The sequence below is a fragment of the Homo sapiens genome, chromosome 7, assembly GCF_000001405.40.
Source record: "Homo sapiens chromosome 7, GRCh38.p14 Primary Assembly".
NCBI classification, from domain to species: Eukaryota; Metazoa; Chordata; class Mammalia; order Primates; family Hominidae; genus Homo; species Homo sapiens.
This window is the reverse complement of record NC_000007.14, coordinates 93,322,639-93,344,391: the sequence shown is the minus strand read 5'-3', so window position 1 is coordinate 93,344,391 and position 21,753 is coordinate 93,322,639. Positions and strand designations below refer to the sequence as shown.

Here is a 21,753-nt window from a genome sequence, read left to right as displayed (position 1 = left end):
TAAAGTCTCCCATTATTAATGTGTGGGAGTCTAAGTCTCTTTGTAGGTCACTCAGGACTTGCTTTATGCATCTGGGTGCTCCTGTATTGGGGTGCATATATATTTAGGATAGTTAGCTTTTCTTGTTGAATTGATCCCTTTATCATTAAGTAATGGCCTTCTTTGTCTCTTTTGATCTTTGTTGGTTTAAAGTCTGTTTTATCAGAGACTAGGATTGCAACCCCTGCCTTTTTTTGTTTTCGATTTGCTTGGTAGATCTTCCTCCATCCTTTTATTTTGAGCCTATGTGTGTCTCTGCCCGTGAGATGGGTTTCCTGAATACAGCACACTGATGGGTCTTGACTCTTTATCCAATTTGCCAGTCTGTGTCTTTTAATTGGAGCATTTAGTCCATTTACATTTAAAGTTAATATGGTTATGTGTGAATTTGATCCTGTCATTATGATGTTAGCTGGTTATTTTGCTCGTTAGTTGATGCAGTTTCTTCCTAGTCTGGATGGTCTTTACATTTTGGCATGATTTTGCAGCGGCTGGTACCGGTTGTTCCTTTCCAGGTTTAGCGCTTCCTTCAGGAGCTCTTTTAGGGCAGGCCTGGTGGTGACAAAATCTCTCAGCATTTGCTTGTCTGTAAAGTATTTTATTTCTCCTTCACTTATGAAGCTTAGTTTGGCTGGATATGAAATTCTGGGTTGGAAATTCTTTTAAGAATGTTGAATATTGGCCCCTACTCTCTTCTGGCTTGTAGAGTTTCTGCCGAGAGATCTGCTGTTAGTCTGATGGGCTTCCCTTTGAGGGTAACCCGACCTTTCTCTCTGGCTGCCCTTAACATTTTTTCCTTCATTTCAACTTTGGTGAATCTGACAATTATGTGTCTTGGTGTTGCTCTTCTCGAGGAGTATCTTTGTGGCATTCTCTGTATTTCCTGAATCTGAACGTTGGCCTGCCTTGCTAGATTGGGGAAGTTCTCCTGGATAATATCCTGCAGAGTGTCTTCCAACTTGGTTCCATTCTCCCCGTCACTTTCAGGTACACCAATCAGACGTAGATTTGGTCTTTTCACATAGTCCCATATTTCTTGGAGGCTTTGTTCATTTCTTTTTATTCTCTTTTCTCTAAACTTCCCTTCTCGCTTCATTTCATTCATTTCATCTTCCATCGCTGATACCCTTTCTTCCAGTTGATCGCATCGGCTCCTGAGGCTTCTGCATTCTTCACGTAGTTCTCGAGCCTTGGTTTTCAGCTCCATCAGCTCCTTTAAGCACTTCTCTGTATTGGTTATTCTACTTATACATTCGTCTAAATTTTTTTCAAAGTTTTCTACTTCTTTGCCTTTGGTTTGAATGTCCTCCCGTAGCTCGGAGTAATTTGATCATCTGAAGCCTTCTTCTCTCAGCTCGTCAAAGTCATTCTCCGTCCAGCTTTGTTCCGTTGCTGGTGAGGAACTGTGTTCCTTTGGAGGAGGAGAGGTGCTGTGCTTTTTAGAGTTTCCAGGTTTTCTGCTCTGTTTTTTTCCCCATCTTTGTGGTTTTATCTACTTTTGGTCTTTGATGATGGTGATGTACAGATGGGTTTTTGGTGTGGATGTCCTTTCTGTTTGTTAGTTTTCCTTCTAACAGACAAGACCCTCAGCTGCAGGTCTGTTGGAGTACCCAGTCGTGTGAGGTGTCAGTGTGCCCCTGCTGGGGGGTGCCTCCCAGTTCGGCTGCTCGGGGATCAGGGGTCAGTGGTCAGGGACCCACTTGAGGCAGTCTGCCCGTTCTCAGATCTCCAGCTGCGTGCTGGGAGAACCACTGCTCTCTTCAAAGCTGTCAGACAGGGACATTTAAGTCTGCAGAGGTTACTGCTGTCTTTTTGTTTGTCTGTGCCCTGCCCCCAGAGGTGGAGCCTACAGAGGCAGGCAGGCCTCCTTGGGCTGTGGTGGGCTCCACCTAGTTCGAGCTTCCAGGCTGCTTTGTTTACCTAAGCAAGCCTGGGCAATGGCGGGTGCCCCTCCCCCAGCGTCACTGCCGCCTTGCAGTTTGATCTCAGACTGCTGTGCTAGCAATCAGCGAGACTTCGTGGGCATGGGACCCTCCGAGCCAGGTGCGGGATATAATCTCCTGATGCACCGTTTTTTAAGCCCGTCGGAAAAGCACAGTATTCGGGTGGGAGTGACCCAGATTTGCAGGTGCCGTCTGTCACCACTTTCTTTGACTAGGAAAGGGAACTCCCTGACCCCTTGTGCTTCCCTAGTGAGGCAATGCCTCGCCCTGCTTCGGCTCATGCACAGTGCGCGCACCCACTGACCTGCGCCCACTGTCTGGCACTCCCTAGTGAGATGAACCCGGTACCTCAGATGGAAATGCAGAAATCACCCGTCTTCTGTGTCGTTCACGCTGGGAGCTGCAGACTGGAGCTGTTCCTATTCGGCCATCTTGGCTTCTCCCCAGGAAGCATTCTTATTGATGTCAAGGATCAACTATACTTAACACTAAATTGACAATGCAACTACAGCTTCTCCTGAGATCATAAGTCATCAATAGGAAAATATGAAGCATAGTATAATGCTTTTTAAAGTTGTACTTAAAGCATGGATCATGTTGTTAAAGGCTGAAAATTAAAAGATTTCCTTCTTTCCATTTCTATAACTGAAAAACCAACCATGCAGTTTAAAAAATCAATTGGTAATCTGTGTTAGAATATACTTCTCAGAAACATATAAGTGATATTTAGAAGTGGTAGATGTATGCAGCTAACTAGAAGTCTAATTAAACAATGCTTCTTTTATAAAGTTTCTTAAATATTTAATGGCAACGCAACTGTTTTGAACAACTTACAAGGATTCCGTGGCTACCACTCTTTCTGCCAACCCATACAGCGTATCCCCAGATGTCAAAACCACTAGGTGACTGAGGTGTGGACTTGGCACCTTCTCCTTTCTTTCTTCTGCTGCTGTGAGTGTGGCAGTAGGATCAGCTGAAACTTCCTGAAAATACAATAGATATACAACCTGGAATAACAAATCTAACAGTAATAAACCACGTGATTTTGACAAAATTAGAATTAAAATTAAAATACTCTTGGGGCACACGTTAATTACATTTAGGTTCAGTTCTTTTTATCCTGCTTTCATGTTTGTAACTATTGGAACCTTCTTTTTAATCCTAAATGAGAATGAGCCTACATAATATCATCCAACTCTACATGCTACCATCTGTACATGACCTAAAGTCTGTCAACACAAGGACTCTTTATGAATTGACAGATGTTTCACAGTGACAACAGTGAGATGGCCCTCAAGAACTTGTAAATGAGAGAAATATGATTACCCCTTGAGAACCATGCTGATAAAATCCAAAATTATTTTTTGATTAACCATCTCACACCCAAATTTTAATGAAGGTTACCCTGGTATATAATCTCAAGAAGGCAGGACTAGAATGAAGTTATAAACTAGAACAGAGCCAACTGTATTGTATATGTCTGGGGACAGACTGCTGATAAGAAGGAAGATGGTCAATGTGAACAAAGGAAAGGGATACCCAGGAAGCAGGGTGTGCCAGGCTCTTCAGCACCATCCAGGAGAGAACCACTGATTCAGTTACACAGCCATGTAGTCAACAGGAGTGATGCAGTCTAATTTGTGGTCGGGAAAACTCATCGGACTTCAAATTTCTCAGTTTTACTTTCATCTGATGATATACTCATTAGAAATCTTCTCATTACTAATTTACCTTTCTAGGTATTCTGATGCCAGGCAACGAATGCCTTGGATATGAGTTTATGTACATTCTTGGACTTCATATAAACATATCCTATGTTATAAACAAACAGGTTGGCAAAGGAAGAGTTTCAAAGATACACTTACTCAACTTCTCAATACATAGCAAGGGACTCATTTTTTACTAAGCTCTTAGCAAACAGTTAAAAAAACAAAAACACATTTCAACTCCCAGGCACACTGGCCACCTTTTTTTGCCAGGAGGATGGGAATATCTTGAGATCATGGGTAAAGATGCACAAGGCTGGCTACTCGGAGTAGCTGACAGAGTACCAGAAGACTGCCAGCTCAAGAGTTACCAATCACTCCAAATATTTCAATATTTAACTTAATATAAACTTATTTTGGTGACTAAGTTTCCCTTTGTACAGCAAACATGAAAGAAGGCTGTTTAGAATACTGGCATCATCATAACAGTTATTTGAATAGTTGCTGCATTACACCTCAGAGAAAGAGACTTTTAATTATTGTTTTCTGGGGCACGAAGGAGAGAGGTCAAGGTAGTGACACTGCAGGAATCTTAACATCACTGATGACAGTATAATCCAGGGTCACTTCACTGTGAAGGCCATTAAGAACTTTTATAACCAAATATATTTCTAATAACAATGAGCTTGAATTACAAATGGTCATTATACTTTTAGTTTAACTATAGAGTTTTACAGTACTGACATGGCAATGAATTCCATTCATTACATTTTTTAAAAAATTCCATAAGAGAAATTTACAAAAAGAAAAAAAATAGAATAAAAGCTATGTAAGTTAAGCAATAGCTCATAGTACAAAAATGCTATTATCTTTTTTAAAGTTAATCTGAATACAAGTTAACCCCTGCCCCCACTCAAAGTTTTAAAATGTTGATTGAATCATAGAATGACAGAGTTAGAAGAGATGCTAAACATTATATAATACAACCCCTGCAGTTTATGTACTACTTTCAGTATGGAAAACACTCCATGGTTATCTCTATTATGGAGTTTAAAGGTGAGAACATATGAGTAGGCAGATAGCAAAACTAAATGTTTAAATGCAAATAAAATAGCTTTAAAAAACCCTCAAAGAAAATTTAGCACAAAAATTGGATGTAAACGCATCTAATAGTGTACAAAATATAAAGCTAGATTACTTTTTACAGCAACTTGATAGTAACAAATCTCCAATTATTTTCCATATGAATAAATGAGACATCAAATGCATACATATAATTTACTCCTATAAATTTAGCAAAATGCAAATAAAAATTATAAAACTTTTCAAGTTAGAAAGTGGTTTAATTCTTTAGTTCTGTTTTTTTTTTTTTTATTTCCTATCTTCTCCTAAAGACAGTGTCTCTTTTCAATCTCTAATTACTCAATTAGCATTTAAAAGTTAGTTGGGGAATAACTGTGCTTCCTCTAGGGAGAAGCAGGATCATGGATCCATGCAAGTTAATTAATGTCGTATCTCCATCATTCATTTCCCTCTAAAAAGGAAATAACCCTACTCCAGCAGAAAAAAAAAAGGAGAATAAAAATTCACAAAATTAAATACTGTTTGGCACCAATTGGTTGTCTATGCTATTTAATTCTGGTAGTTATTGATAAGAAACAAGTAAGGAACCTTACAGTCATTCATGACTCCCCTTCTTCCTCACCTTCCACATCCAATCAATCACTAAAACATGCCTAAACAGACACCTCTCTTGTTTGTTCCTTCCGGATGTTACTATTTAAACAGGTCACAGGCTCCTTAGCAGTCTTGACTGGACTATTCTAAAAGCCCATGAATAGAGAGCTCTGTCTCTAGCATCTCCTATTTCTATGCCAGTTTCCACACAGTTAACTGATTGATTTTTCTACAATACTGATGTGAACTTTCTCAAATAGAGATGTGATCATAACACTCCCTGGTTTTAAAGCCTCAATCCAACCCTTCCAGGAAAAAGTCTATAAACATGTTACCATGCTATTACCTGTTTACAACTGACTCTAGCCTAAAACACTGTTCCCCAAAATATCTTCCCCCTACTAGAAAATAAACTCTACATGGGTAGGGAGTTTTGTTTGGCTTCCCCACCTTCCCCTACAATTGTATTCTTAATTCCTAGAACAGTGCTTGGCACCATATATAGTGTTCAACAAACAGATACTATATAAACATTTGTTGAATAAGGGTGGCTCACTCTCCTATTTCCTTTAGGGATCTTCTTCAATGTTCCTTTCCAGAGGGATCTTCTCTAACTGCCCAAATAAAATTACACCCTTTCTCTCTCTGTCCTTCTCACCTAATTTCTTCATTGCTTTCAACACAATCTGATGTTAAATTAGATCTTCATTTATTCCTTAACTGCCTCCTCCACTCCGGGGACCATCAGTCTACCACAAAGTACCTAGGCATGCAATATGTATTGTGGAATGAATTAGTAATAAAGATAGCTATCCAACTATCTTGTATCTCATCCTGCACCCTCATCACATAGCTCGTTTTCTGTCTGCTTCCAATACCTCTTAGAGTGCTCTCAACTTTCTTCTTAGTTCAGAGTTGTAAATACCTATTTCAGAACAAGTCAAAGAATGGTGAGGAGACCTAAAACTCTGAAACATGAAAAATGAATAAAGGAACTGGTAGAAGAAATGACTTACTTGGGCAAAATGGGTGGCTACTCAAAGTGGTCCAAAAGAGGTAGAAATATAAATAACAGAAAATAGTTCAAGAGAGAAGCATATTTGGTTACATCATAACAAAGCACATTCTATCAGGCAAACTTAAGGCAAGCAGGGCTGCTTTGGGTGGTTATGAGTTCCCAGAAAAACATCACTGGAGATGTTCAAGCAGAAGCTGACAGTTACTAGGTATGTATGAATGCTGTACAGGTTAAGTGAGCACAGATAAGTTTCCTTCTATGAGTAAAAACTTGGAAGATTATACTCCAATAGTATAACAAAACTCTAAGCATCAAACACTTCTGCTTTTAAAATATTGTATAATTAAGCTAAATCTGATATGAATTTTCTGACAATATTGTACAATCTCAAACTCAAAATAGCTCAAGGATCCCCATGAATACCACATACTTATAATAGCAGTTACTTTTAAATTTCATTCTTTTGGATTAGATATCATATACACAATATATTTATAAAACTAAAAGTTTCTTTGAATTTAGGTACTAACTAGTTAATTAGGGATAGAACAGGGAGGTGGCTCTAGAAAATAATGGAAGTCAAGGAGAGGGTATATCTATAGTCTGAGAGAATACAGTTATCTTCCATATGACAAGAGGAGCCAAAAGCATTTACCTAACTACCTCCTTAGTGCCTCCAACACAAATGCACTGAGTTCCCTTCTACTCAGGGAGCTCTTTCACAAAAGCATTCTTTAGAAGATCACTGGAATTGTTGCCCCCACTTCAAAAGGCTTTCATTAAAATACCTTCCTTTGTTCCCAGTTGTAAGCCTGGCATTTGAGGCATAAAATTTATGATAATTATTTGCTTAAAGACTAAAGTTCTGTGTTTATATTTAGGAAAATACGCTTGAAGAGAGCAAGAGAGTCACGAAAATGTCAAGCTGACATAAATAAATGGTATGTGCTTACTGCACACTTAAATAAAAAGCTCCTAAACTGGCTGTTTCAGTTTATAGGAGTACAATAAGTAAAGGATATAACCCTTTAAAGATTGAAAAATGAAACCTTAACCACCTTTATTTTCACAGTGAGAGTCACATTTTTTAGCCTTTCCTACCACCAATGTACTACTACAAAGAGAATTCATATTTATGAATTTTTCTGGACAAATTTAAAATACTTTTTATTATCAAAGATTTAAAGTTGGCTAAAGGCCCAGGTGCAGTGGCTCATGCCTGTAATCCCAGCACTTTGGGAGGCTGAGGCAGAAGGATCACCTGAGGTCAGGAGTTCAAGACCAGCCTGGCCAACATGGCAAACCTGTCTCTACTAAAAATACAAAAACTAGCCGGGCGTGGTGGTGACAGCCTGTAATTCCAGCTACTCGGGAGGCTGAGGCAGGAGAATTGCTTGAACCTGGGAGGTGGAGGTTGCAGTGAGACAAGATCTTACCACTGCACTCCAGCCTGGGTGACATAGTGAGACTGTCTCATAAGCAAATAAATAAATAAGTTGGCTAAAGGTCTTAAAGCAAACAATTTAGTTAGCATAACCAAATGGATAACTAAAAATTCAACTTTCTGCTGTCACTATCGCCTATACCAGCTTCCTTTCTTACTTTTCCTATTAGACAACTTTTCTTAAATTTTTATTTGATGTGACAAACAAATTTTCTTAGTTTACATTGAATTTACATGATAAATTATTTCGGGTGGCACTTTTAAGACCACAATGATTCTATTTTGCCTTTTACAGCTTAAAGAGAAGTAAAACTTAGAATATCTATATGGAGAAAATAAAATTACCAAAAAAGTATTTATTAAGATTTTAACTGACGTGCAAGAGAAATATAAGGAAAAATATTACTTCCATCTAGTTGGTTTCAGATTGATTAAGCTATAAATTATTTTAGTAGCCAAAGAATGTATTGAGTAGCAAGAAATCAATTAATGTACTCTGCCATTGTAAATGCAAATTAATGAAGTGAAGAAAATTAATACATACCAGCTTAAAAAATCCTGAGATCAAGCAAGTTCTAGTAAATGACAAATATATTTTCTAAAATAACAAACCAATGTTTATCAGTATGAGTAATAATTCATTATACACTATGTGGTAAAATCTGAGGCAGAAATCCACATCTTAAGGGTCAAATCTAGAACTGGAGTTTGATGATCACAAGATAGTAGCTAGCAGGGATGACACAGAAATGCCAGGGTGAATGGCCCTAGTGGTAAAATCTGGCCCATCAATCTTGGGACTTTCAGTAAGAACCAAGAAAAACTTTAGCTGTGGACTAAGATCTGGAGAATAAGATTTGATGCTCAAGGTTATACTTAAGTATCAAATAAGAAGAATCAAAATCGAAACACAGAAAACTGCAAGTGGGGCTGAGACCAATGGATTTTACAAAACAAAGACTAAAAACAAAAAAGAAAAGAAAAAAGAGAAACAAAAAGGGTGGATCAAATAAGGAGCCTTGACTCTGAAATTGAAGATCAAGGATTAAACAAATATCAAAACCAAAAAAACAAGCCAAGTTATGCCAAGAAACAAGAAACTCAGCGACTGGGGTATATTCACCTACTCTATGAACATTTACTGAAGCAATGTTATGTGCCAAGGTAAGTGATATGACTATATTTTTAAAAATGTGTTGGGTAAAAGGATCTCCAAATGTTAAGAGAGAAGGATACCATTTATTTCTTCTGCCCAAACAGCGCTCACCTGAGATATCAGTACATGCCTCACTCACATTATTCACATCTCTGCTCAAGATCCCCATCCTATCACCGCTTCAGTTTCATCTTAGTACTCATGAGTATCTGACACTATGTTACACATTTGTTTGTCTCTCTGCTCCAAAAAAATACAAGTTCCAAGACAGGAAATATCTCTTCTGTGCACTGATGAATTCCCAGCTCTTTAACAATGCCTGGCATATAACAATTGTTGCAACAGTATTTCTTAAAAGAATTAATAATCATGGCTTTATAAAAAGCTTCAATAACAGAGGTAAGCACATAATATAGAGCTTATGAAAAAGGAGGAAAATGATTGCTTGTTTGTGTTAGGTTGAAGGAATAAAGGAAAAGTCAGAGAAGCCTGGGGTTAAAGTAGATGTGGAGAAACGTCTGAATAACATAAATTTCCGGCTACAGTGACCAACCACAAGAAAAAAAGATTTTCTCATTTTAAATGCTTATGTTAGCTGAAACAGTACAGGAGGTCAACCCTGTGTTGCTATCTAACCTATCTTCTTAAAACATGTATTTCATCCTGTGACAACAGTCAAGAACCAGGCTCCCTACTACACAGCAAACTAAACCCAAACTTTCTCCTTGAATTTCAAAGCCGTTTATAAAGTGTCCCAGACACTCTCTGCAACCTAACTCGGCAGCATATACCAGTGTCCCAATCATAAGATCTGTCAAACTTCGGGCTGCACCCACCTCAAGGCCCTTGCTCACCCTGTGTACCTTAATTTAAAGACTTTTCTCTCTCCCATTAATCCTATGCCTGGTCTTCGAAGCCTAGCACAAGTGTTACTTCTTCCTTTAGTCCTCCTCTGATATTAGTTTTTCACATAAACCTTTCTCTTCTTTGAACTTGTGCTAGATATAAGCCCAATATCATATTCTTTTATGTATACTAGTTTCTCTCTGATCAGACTATAAGCAACCTCTGTTTTACTTCCTATATGCACTCATTTAATTCTGAGGACTCAGCTACTCAATACATATAGACACACATTTATATGAAATTGATTGAATAGCTAATTTCCATTTTATATAATCCAAAAGAATTTATTCCAATTCGTTACTTACTAGATCAATAAGGCTTTCTTGTATTCTGTTTAGAGTTGTTCTTAGTCTACTACTACTAAGGCCGAGTCCAGTTGATTCCAACTGAAAAAGAAAAAGGCTTGTTATATCGTTCTAAAGATCATCTTGCAAATGTTACATCTTCAAATTAACCAAGATATTTGATGAGTTTTCACTCAGATACTTAGCCTTCAGAGGGTTTCCAAATTGCATTTACAAATTCTAGCACATCAAACAAAGGAGTCAAATCTCAAGGGAACCAAAGAAACATTTACCTGTGTGCATTTATAGGACACACTAACATCTATCAATCTTAAGAATTATCAGGAGAGAGTTCTCCAGAATTTCTTTCTCGCGAGTCATTATTTTTAGTTGCAAAACTTGAGATTTTAGATAAACATATTACACTCTGTTGTATGTAAGGTATGCTGTGCTGTGTTCATGTGGCAGCATAACAACATAAAGTTATTTATATTTTTTGGTTATTTTTCTTATACAAATTAGCGATAGCTTAACTCCTCATTCAAAAATCAATACGATTTTCTATTAGGCTTAGTAAACATTTCACAGTATAGATAGAAATCTATTCACTACAACAAAGCCAAAGCATTTATAAAAACCTTCACACAAGAGCATAAATGAGAAGGGTAAGAATAAGACATGAAAAGCCAGTTAGTCAGCTCCTTGTGTGATGATTCCATTGATGAAAATAAATTTAATTTAGAGGTAATCATACATAGTTAAAGGCATTTGGAAAAATGTTACAATGTTCTCTGTGAGCCAATAAATTTAAAACATTATTAAGAGTAAGCTATAAAATGTATGTCATTAACATAGTCATAGAAATTATGTATGTATGAGTGTGACTATACACACACACAAGCATACATGAACATTTATTATTCCTCTTCCTCTCCCATTTGAGATACAAGAATGAGAAATTATTTACACGTGTCAGAGAGTCTTACGTGAAAATAGTTGTGCCATAACACTGTGCAATAAAACATGAACTAATTTTATAATATTTAATACATTTTATTTTCTCCAGGTTTTATAAACTTCATTAATCCATTTTTCTTCTATTTTCATTAAGGTATTATTTATATATAAATTACATTCAGTCCTTTTAAGTATACAGTTTGATGAATTTGGTAATAGCATACAATCTCGCAACCAGCACCATAATAGAGTTCCCTCCCCCTTAAAAATGTCCTCATACCTTTTGCCCTTATCCCCTTCCCTCACCCTTAACCCCTGACCTGCTTTCTCTCACTGTAGTTTTTGCCTTTTCTAAAATTTCATATAAATGGAATCACATAGTATATAATCTTTTGTGTTTGATGTGTTTTACTCAGAATGCTTTTGAGATTCATCCGTGTTGAGTCTGGTGGTATTTTGTAGTGTTTTATTGCTTTATTGTATTTAGTAGTATGGATACAGTACAATCTCTTTACTTGTTCAGTTTACTGATTCGGTCAATTAACATTTGGGTTCCAGTTTTGGGCTATTTGAATAATGTCACCATGAACATTCATGTGTGTGTCCTTGTCGGGACATATATTATTTTCACTTATCTTGGGTAAATAACTAGAAATCGATATTCTAATTCATATACTAAATATGTTTTTAACCTTATAAGGTACTTCCACGTTGTTTTCTAAAGTAGCTGTACTGTTTTCATTTCTTCACACAATGTATGTGAATTCTATTTGTTCCATGTCATGGACTAAACGTTTGTGTTTTCCCTCAAAATGCATGTTGACACCCTAACCCTTAATGTGATAGCATTTGGAGGTGGGGCTTTTGGGAGATAAAATCAGCTTTAGCTGAGGTCATGAGGGTGGGTCCCTGGTATGATGGGATTAGTGCCATTATAAGAAGAGACACTAGAGAGCTTACTATCTCCTTCCACATGATCAAAGGAAAGGCCATGTGAAGACACAGGCAGAAAGCAACCATCTGCTAGCCAGAAAGGGTGCTTCCATCAGAAAATGAATTGGCCACCACCTTGATCTTGGACTTTCTAGCCTCCAGAACTGTGAGAAATAAATTTCTGTTCTTTAGCAGCCGAGTCTATGCTATTCTGCTATGGAAGTTGGAGCAGACTAAGGCTCCACAAACTTGCCAATTCTTAATACTGTCAGGCCTTTTAACTAGCCATTCTAGTGGTTGCACAGAAGTATTGCAATGTGCTTTTAACATGCACTTCTCTGATGACAGTGATGTCAAACATCTTCTCATGTGCTAATTAGCCATTCTCATATCTTCTTTTGCAGTGCAGATACCTGATAAAATCTCTTCCCATTTTTTACGTGGGTTGTTTTCTTATTGAGTTATAAGAGTTGTTTACACTTTGTGTAAACATGCCCTTTCTCAATATGGTTTGCAAAATTTTCTCCTGGTCTGACTTGCCTTTTCGTATTTCTACCTCTTTAGCAAACGTTGTTAACCATGAGGAAGCCCATTTTATCAATATTTTCTTTTATGCTTCATGCTTTTTGTGTCTTTTCAAAGAAGCATATGCCTAACCCAAATGTCACAAAGATTTTCTCCTAGTTTTTTCTAGAAGTTTCATAGTTTTGGAACTTCTTTAGGTCTTACAAACAATGTTTATTTATATTCTTGTGTATGGTATGAAGGGGTTGAGGCTTTTTTTTTCTTTTCATACTTATATCCAAGTGTACCCACACCACTTGCTAAAAAAACTATTTTCTCTAATGAACTGCCTTAGTGCTCTTTTCAAAAATCAGTTGACCATGTAAGTGTGTCTATTTCTGTTGCACTTATCTACCGTTAGGCCAGTACCACATTTTATCAACTACTGTAGCTCTGGAGTAAGTCTTTGTGAAATCAGGTATAAAAATCCTCTAACTCTGGTCTTCAAAAATGTTTTGGCCATTATGAATCTTTTGCTTTTTGTATCAATTTTAAAATAAACTTCTAAATTTCTTCAAAAAAAAAAAAAAAACCTTGTTACAGTTTTGATTGGGATTGTACTGAACCTATAGATTTGGGGAAGACTGCCACCTTTACAATATTGAGTTTTCTAATATATGCACATGGTGTATCTCATTATTTATTTACATAGTCTTTAATTCCATTTCTAATGCTTTAGTATTTTCAGGGTACAAGCCTATCAAGTTATCTGTTACATTTCTAAAAAATTTTGATGTTATTGTAAGTAAAGCTTTTAAAAATTTTTTATTTTCAAACTTGATTATTATTGATTTTTGTATACTGACTTTATATTCTAGGAGTTTGCTAAATGTACTTATTAGTTCTAGAAGCTTATTTGTGGATTCCTTAGGGTTTCCCATGTCATCTGCAATTAAGGACAACCTAACTTCTTTTCCAATCCATATGCCTTATATTTCTTATCTTATGACAAAGACTAGGATCTCCAGCACAATTGTTTGGGTTTTTTTTTTTTTTTTTTTTTGAGACAGGGTCTCGCTCTGTTGCCCAGTTGCCCAGGCTGGAATGCAGTGGCGCAATCACAGCTCACTGCAGCCTCGACCTCCAGGGCTCAAGCGATCCTCCTGCCTCAGCATCCCGAGTAACTGGGACTACAGGAGCAAGCCACCACACTTGGCTAATTTTTGTATTTTTAGTAGGGACTGGGTTTCACCATATTTTCCAGTCCGGTCTCGAACTTCTGGGCTCAAGTGACCCTTCCACCTCAGCCTCCCAAAGTGCTGGGATTACAAGTCTGAACCATCATGCCTAGCCTATTTTTTATATTTAAAGTATGTCTTTTTGTTTTTTAGTGTGGACTTTGTTTTTAATCCATTCTGACAATCTGCCATTTGAGAGTTTAGTCCATTATCATCTAATGTAATGATTAGTTGAGTTTGCACCTACTGTTATATTTTCTCTCTATTTTCCCTCCTTGGTTCTTCCTTTCCTGCCTCTTGTAATTATATATTTTTAGATTTCTACTTTAATATTCCTGTTGGCTAAAAGTTAAAGTTATTTGTAGTATGTTTCATGGTTGTCCTATGGATTACAATACTCATCACTGCTTTACTAATATACAGAAATCTTGCAATCTTATACATCATAACCCCCCACATACTTTGTTGCAGTTTTTATATGTAATACATCTACATATATTATGAACTCCAGGAAGACTATGCTATGATTTCAGTGTTAAACAGCTCTATGGTTTATAAAGAAAGTGGAAAAAGAAAAAAATTATCTTTTGAATTTCCACAGGTAGATTCCATTACCAAGGCTCTTTACTCTTTTCTGAGGATCTAGGTTTTCATGTGTTATCATTCCCCTTCAGTTTAATAACTTCCTTTAGGAATTCTTATATGTCCCTTGTGACAAATTCTCTTAGTATTTTTGTTCTTTTTATCTAAAAGTATCTTAATTTCACTTTCATTCTCGAATGACGTTTTTACTGGATATAAAATTCTGAATAGACATTATTTCTTTTTCTTTTGTACCTTCAAGGTGTTAACTCTCTTCTCATCCCCATAGCTTTTTAATGGGAAGTCAGCTGTTAATCAGATTATTGGTCCCTTTTATATAATACATCTACTATGGTTTTCAAGAAAAAGTTTCATCATAGGTACTCTGCTGTACATTTCTTTATGCTTCCTCTTCTTGCTGTTCATTTAGCATCTTGTGTCTGCAAAATTTTGGCCAGTGTTTTTTCAAATATTTTTTCTGACCCATTCTCTCTCTCTTCTTCTCCATCTAGTATTCCAATTACATGTATGTTTTACCATGTGATATAATCGAACATGTTTGTGAGACTTTTTTCCTTTTAATCCTTTTTTACGCTCTTCACTTTGTATAACTTTGATTTATCTTTAAGTTCACATATTCTTTCTTCTGTCATGTCCATTTGGCTGTTAAGTATATTGAGTAAATTTTTTGTTGTTTTTTGAAATTGTATTTTTCATTTCTAGGATTTCCCTTTGGTTTTTTATTATTGTCACTACCAGAATTTACTATTTCTCTGCTGAGATGTTCATGCATTTAAAATATATTTTGTTTTAATTCATTGAAGACAAGGATAAAAGCCCATTTAAAATCCTTATTCCTTGGTTCCAATATCTTAGAGTTAAACTAGATTGATTTGGTGCTGTGTCTGTTAGGTAAAGTTGGATTACATCACCAATTTCATTCTGGAGATTCTGGATACTAGTCATTTTTCTCCCATAAATACCATTTCCTTTGTTTTCAGTACATAAGTTTCTTGGCTGGGCTTTAACTATAAACTGTCTCTTGTGCAGCAGCTTTGGTCTCCGTTTATATTTTTTTTCTTTCACTGGGCTGCAGTCAGTTTGTTCCATATAATCATGGATCATGGAATCACATATCTCACAGTCCGAGATATAGGTGGACTGAATTTGGAAATCCTCTCTCTGGATTTTTTTCTTCTGAGCGTCCTCCACTATTTTCAGTGTTTCCAGTTTTCTAGCTCCACTTTTCTGATTCTCCAGTCCATAAAAACTTCAGGTTTTCTTGTGCTTGTTCCCCACCGTGGGCCGCATGGACTGCACTTAGAACTGAACTAAAAGCCACAGGGATAAAGTTTATTTTCATAGCTCCCCTTTCTCCCATCTGCAGACTAGCATGGACCCCCCACCACAGTCTATTTGCTGCTTCTGTTTACTCTCCAGCGTCTTCAAATAGTTGCCTTTTCTATAGTATTCAGATTTTATAGTTGTTTTCTGCAGGAAATCTTATCTAGAAAGGGTTTAGTCTGTCATACCCGGAATTGGAAGTTAATTCATTTTTTAAATATATAGATACCTATTTATATAGGCTCTCTACAAAGAAACCGTTTTACTAATGAAAGGTAACCTTAAATGAGGCTCACAAACTGTTGTCAAGTAAGAACCTTCGTAAGATTTACTGGGATGGCAAATAATTAGATCAATCCATATGCCATGAGTGTCTGCTATGTGTTTACTACTGTTTTAAGTAAGTTACAGAATGGTCTTCACAAAAAAATGTGAACCAGAAAGACCAAAGAAAACATAATTTAAGAGGTGAACAATGGAAAGCTGGGGACAAGGCAAGATAAAGCAATACCATGAGTAGCATTATTATAATAGAATCCAATGGATCAGATATAAAATAGAGCATGAGGTAGTAGGTTATAACCAGTTCAGTGAATAGCAGGAGTTTCTGGAGGGAATAGTATTAATAGGAGTAATCCTTTGAACTAATGTATATACTGTGTCCCCAACCAATGATTTCTAGAAGCCAGAACCCCTGAGAAAAAGATACTTATTTTTCCACAAGAAGCATCCATCTAAATTCTCTCACACAAGTCCCTTTCTTCTGACAGAAAAGCAGATACCACCACATAACCTGTTCTTCCCATTCTACACATTACCTGATTCCCCCTCCCCGGTACCACTAACAAACATTCAACAGCTAATGGGGTAAATTTGGAGTATTTATTTATTTTTATGAGTATGAAAAATTCTGTGATTTCTAATGGGCCTGAAAAGCTTATTCTCTTCGGAAATTAAAAACTACCACTTCAGTATTATACACCCGCATGTGCCTATTTGTGCTATTTATTTATAGATTTTCTTTGTTTCAGTATAATTAAATAGCTCTTACTGAGTCTTACAGAATTGAAAATGGTTTAAATATAAAATATCAGATTAGTGTGTTCATAACAAACCTTAAATCAAATATGCAATATATTTTACAATAAGTACCTAACTATACTTTGCTAAATTTCTGGGGTACTAGTAAATGCCATTCTGAAAAAATTCTGTGTCAGTATATAATGAGCTGGGAAATCATGCCCAAAACCATTTGGTTCCCAAAAGTTTCAGAAAGATCTTATTTATTTTAACACATCTTATCAATAATGTGGTCTGGAACTGTTCTGTCCCATATGATAGTAGTCACACGTGGCTATTTATATTTAAAGATTAAATTAACTAAAATTGGATACAATTAAGAATACAGTTCCTAAGTCATTAGTCATACATATTTCAAGCGCTCAACAGCCATGTGTGGCTAGTGGTTACCATACCAGACATTGCTAATATAGAACGTTTCCACTATTGTGAAATTTCTTAGGACTGGTCTAGAGGCATGGCCCAAAAGACAAAGTAAGGCTCACCTACAAGACTAAAACATTCTGACAATTAGCTAAAACTCTACAATGTCTTCCTCAATATTTATTTAGTGAGTTTCCAAATTCAGGGTGATGAATTAATACATACTTTATAGTATATAAATTCTGTAGCAACATTTTGTCACTGGTCATATTAGCATTCTTTCTAAGTAATATTTTTCAGAATTAAGAACCCAGGAAATTCAGGTCCTATATAAAATGATTATGTCTTTGACATACTTGTGATCACAGCAAGGATATAAATATTTATATAATGAATGTAGTTATACATTGAAATTTACATTTTTAAAAAGATATGAAACATAAGTAGTATTATATTCATAGGACTCAATGGAATGTTTTTACACAGAAAACTGTCAAACATCTATGCAAACCACATAATTAATTTTAAAGTATCAAATTAGTTACCTGCCTAATATTGTGTTATTTTCTGTGAGTAGCAGAAAAAGATATACTCAATAAGAGCTTTGGAAACACAGAAAGGAGGTGCAGAAAAACATTAATTCTACGGCAGGTAGATGGCTCAGTTCAGATTTTCAATTATTTTAATAAATATTTTTCATTATTTTTTATTTTTTTTTCTGGGTTTCAATACTGTATTATTTTATTTTATTTTATTTTTTTTTTATTATTATTATACTTTAAGTTTTAGGGTACATGTGCATAATGTGCAGGTTAGTTACATATGTATACATGTGCCATGCTGGTGTGCTGCACCCATTAACTCGTCATTTAGCATTAGGTATATCTCCTAATGCTATCCCTCCCCCCTCCCCCCACCCCACAACAGTCCCCAGAGTGTGATGTTCCCCTTCCTGTGTCCATGTGTTCTCATTGTTCAATTCCCACCTATGAGTGAGAATATGCAGTGTTTGGTTTTTTGTCCTTGTGATAGTTTACTGAGAATGATGATTTCCAATTTCATCCATGTCCCTACAAAGGACATGAACTCATCATTTTTTATGGCTGCATAGTATTCTATGGTGTATATGTGCCACATTTTCTTGATCCAGTCTATCATTGTTGGACATTTGGCTTGGTTCCAAGTCTTTGCCATTGTGAATAGTGCCACAATAAACATACGTGTGCATGTGTCTTTATAGCAGCATGATTTATAGTCCTTTGGGTATATACCCAGTAATGGGATGGCTGGGTCAAATGGTATTTCTAGTTCTAGATCCCTGAGGAATCGCCACACTGACTTCCACAAGGGTTGAACTAGTTTACAGTCCCACCAACAGTGTAAAAGTGTTCCTATTTCTCCACATCCTCTCCAGCACCTGTTGTTTCCTGACTTTTTAATGATTGCCATTCTAACTGGTGTGAGATGGTATCTCATTGTGGTTTTGATTTGCATTTCTCTGATGTCCAGTGATGGTGAGCATTTTTTCATGTGTTTTTTGGCTGCATAAATGTCTTCTTTTGAGAAGTGTCTATTTATATCCTTTGCCCACTTTTTGATGGGGTTGTTTTTTTCTTGCAAACTTGTTTGAGTTCATTGTAGATTCTGGATATTAGCCCTTTGTCAGATGAGTAGGTTGTGAAAATTTTCTCCCATTTTGTAGGTTGCCTGTTCACTCTGATGGTAGTTTCTTTTGCTGTGCAGAAGCTCTTTAGTTTAATTAGATCCCATTTGTCAACTTTGGCTTTTGTTGCCATTGCTTTTGGTGTTTTAGACATGAAGTCCTTGCCCATGCCTATGTCCTGAATGGTAATGCCTAGGTTTTCTTCTAGGGTTTTTATGGTTTTAGGTCTAACATTTAAGTCTTTAATCCATCTTGAATTAATTTTTGTATATACAAGGTGTAAGGAAGGGATCCAGTTTCAGCTTTCTACATATGGCTAGCCAGTTTTCCAAGCACCATTTATTAAATAGGGAATCCTTTCCCCATTGCTTGTTTTTCTCAGGTTTGTCAAAGATCAGATAGTTGTAGATATGCGGCGTTTTTTCTGTGGGCTCTGTTCTGTTCCATTGATCTATATCTCTGTTTTGGTACCAGTACCATGCTGTTTTGGTTACTGTAGCCTTGTAGTATAGTTTGAAGTCAGGTAGTGTGATGCCTCCAGCTTTGTTCTTTTGGCTTAGGATTGACTTGGCGATGCAGGCTCTTTTTTGGTTCCATATGAACTTTAAAGTAGTTTTTTCCAATTCTGTGAAGAAAGTCATTGGCAGCTTGATGGGGATGGCATTGAATCTATAAATTACACCTTGGGAAGTATGGCCATTTTCACGATATTGATTCTTCCTACCCATGAGCATGGAATGTTTTTCCATTTCTTTGTATCCTCTTTTATTTCATTGAGCAGTGGTTTGTAGTTCTCCTTGAAGAGGTCCTTCACATCCCTTGTAAGTTGGATTCCTAGGTATTTTATTCTCTTTGAAGCAATTGTGAATGGGAGTTCACTCATGATTTGGCTCTCTGTTTGACTGTTATTGGTGTATAAGAATGCTTGTGATTTTGCAAGGCTGGTTCAATATACGCAAATCAATAAATGTAATCCAGCATATAAACAGAACCAAAGACAAAAACCACGATTATCTCAATAGATGCAGAAAAGGCCTTTGACAAAATTCAACAACTCTTCATGCTAAAAACTCTCAATAAATTAGGTATTCACGGGATGTATCTCAAAATAATAAGAGCTATCTATGACAAACCCACAGCCAATATCATACTTAATGGGCAAAAACTGGAAGCATTCCCTTTGAAAACTGGCACAAGATAGGGATGCCCTCTCTCACCACTCCTATTCAACATAGTGTTGGAAGTTCTGGCCAGGGCAATTAGGCAGGAGAAGGAAATAAAGGGTATTCAATTAGGAAAAGAGCAAGTCAAATTGTCCCTGTTTGCAGATGACATGATTGTATATCTAGAAAACCCCATTGTCTCAGCCCAAAATATCCTTAAGCAAAGTCTCAGGATACAAAATCAATGTACAAAAATCACAAGCATTCTTATACATCATTATCTTATAAATATACTAGTGACTGCTAAGGTTGTTAGCCAGCATTTAAAATGTCTCATTTACTGTTTTATATTTTAGATGGAGCCAGATTTAAAAAAAGCAACCTGCACATTTTTCATTGCCAAAATATGTCAAGGTTAGAAACAGATGTTGCACTTTTTCTGCCAAAAATTTGAATGTGTTTATCATACCAAAGCTTAAAATTAATATAAAAGTAAGGCAATAAGGCAGACAGAAGGCTGATATCAATAATTTTGTTTTTGATGCATAATCCCCAAAATAATGTTATTTGTGTATCTTCTATAGAGAGAATGAAAAACTTTGACATTTATAAAATAAATTTTAAAAGAAAGATTTTTTTCCCTCTAAAGGTGGACTTACTGAATCATTCCGACCAAAAAAGGTATATATTGCATACAAGTAATAATCAAATAGTTGAGACATGAAATGAATAACATCAAAGGCAATTGGCTTAAGAATGTTCATCATCTGCATATATTTTCCTGAAAAGAAAAAAGAATAAAAAATTAAGCAGAACAAAATTAAAATCTGTTAGTCTATAATTATAAAAAGAAAATAAAATTATTATACTAAAATATTTAAATATAATGAAACATTGCACTCCCTCACAGTAGCCATGTCTCAAGTACTCAGTAGTTTCATGTGGCTAATGGCTATTGCATGGGACAGCACAGATTATGAACAGTTCTATCATCTTGGAAAGTTATATTGGAGAGTACTAATATAAATAATACAATGATATTTTCCTCTTACTACATTTTACTGTTTCCCAAATTTTTATGGAACTCCTACACTCTTCTACAACTGACACTGTACAAACAAACAACATTGGTTCTCTTTTCTAGGAGTTTCCATTTAAAATAATTTCTTTGAAAATGTGTAAGTTTAATAGAGGAAAATAAAATATATTTAAGAAAATATTTATTTTTCATAAGCTTATACATATATAGCAAAAGTAGAAAAGCAAGAAGAAAAATGATACATGCAAGATACTGCCCATTGCCCTGAATCCTAGCCCTGTGAAATCTTGGGTCAGAGGCCAAGAACATTTCTTTATCACTGTATCATTCAAGAGCTCAATATCCACAGGGTACAAAGAACATATCTTTCTCATTCCTTCTTTTGGAAGATGCCAATATCCCATTCCTTTTCCTCTAAATATATAATCAGATATACTCACAGAAAAACAAAAAACACAATGAATTAAACTTCTGCATTTACAAACTTGCTAATGTATTGGAAGGGTTCAAGAGGGATGGGAAGAATCAAATAACAAATAACTGCAAGTCCCCAGTTCTGTCTCTTTTTTGTGGGAAATAAGAGGAAAAGAAGCATATCTATTAAAAAATGCTCTATACTTTCTTCTACAGAAGATCTTAAAACAGGCCATTTGCTTAATTTCCAAATAAGCCAATAATTCAGGTGCTGGCTCTACTTCATCTTAACTGCTATAA

At 36.0% G+C, this 21,753-nt stretch overlaps 1 protein-coding gene across 4 annotated transcripts in view; it reads right to left on the bottom strand.

Annotated features, from left to right (window-relative positions):
* Window positions 1-21,753, bottom strand: part of VPS50 (VPS50 subunit of EARP/GARPII complex) — a 128,758-nt gene that overhangs the window by 16,732 nt on the left and 90,273 nt on the right. For all 4 annotated transcript variants that reach the window (NM_001257998.2, NM_017667.4, XM_011516395.3 and 1 more), the window contains 3 exons: window positions 20,660-20,781; window positions 10,195-10,275; window positions 2,817-2,965 (listed from right to left, as the gene is read on the bottom strand). In NM_001257998.2, coding sequence (NP_001244927.1) covers window positions 2,817-2,965; window positions 10,195-10,275; window positions 20,660-20,781 — 352 coding nt within the window. The remainder of the gene's footprint in view (window positions 1-2,816; window positions 2,966-10,194; window positions 10,276-20,659; window positions 20,782-21,753) is intronic.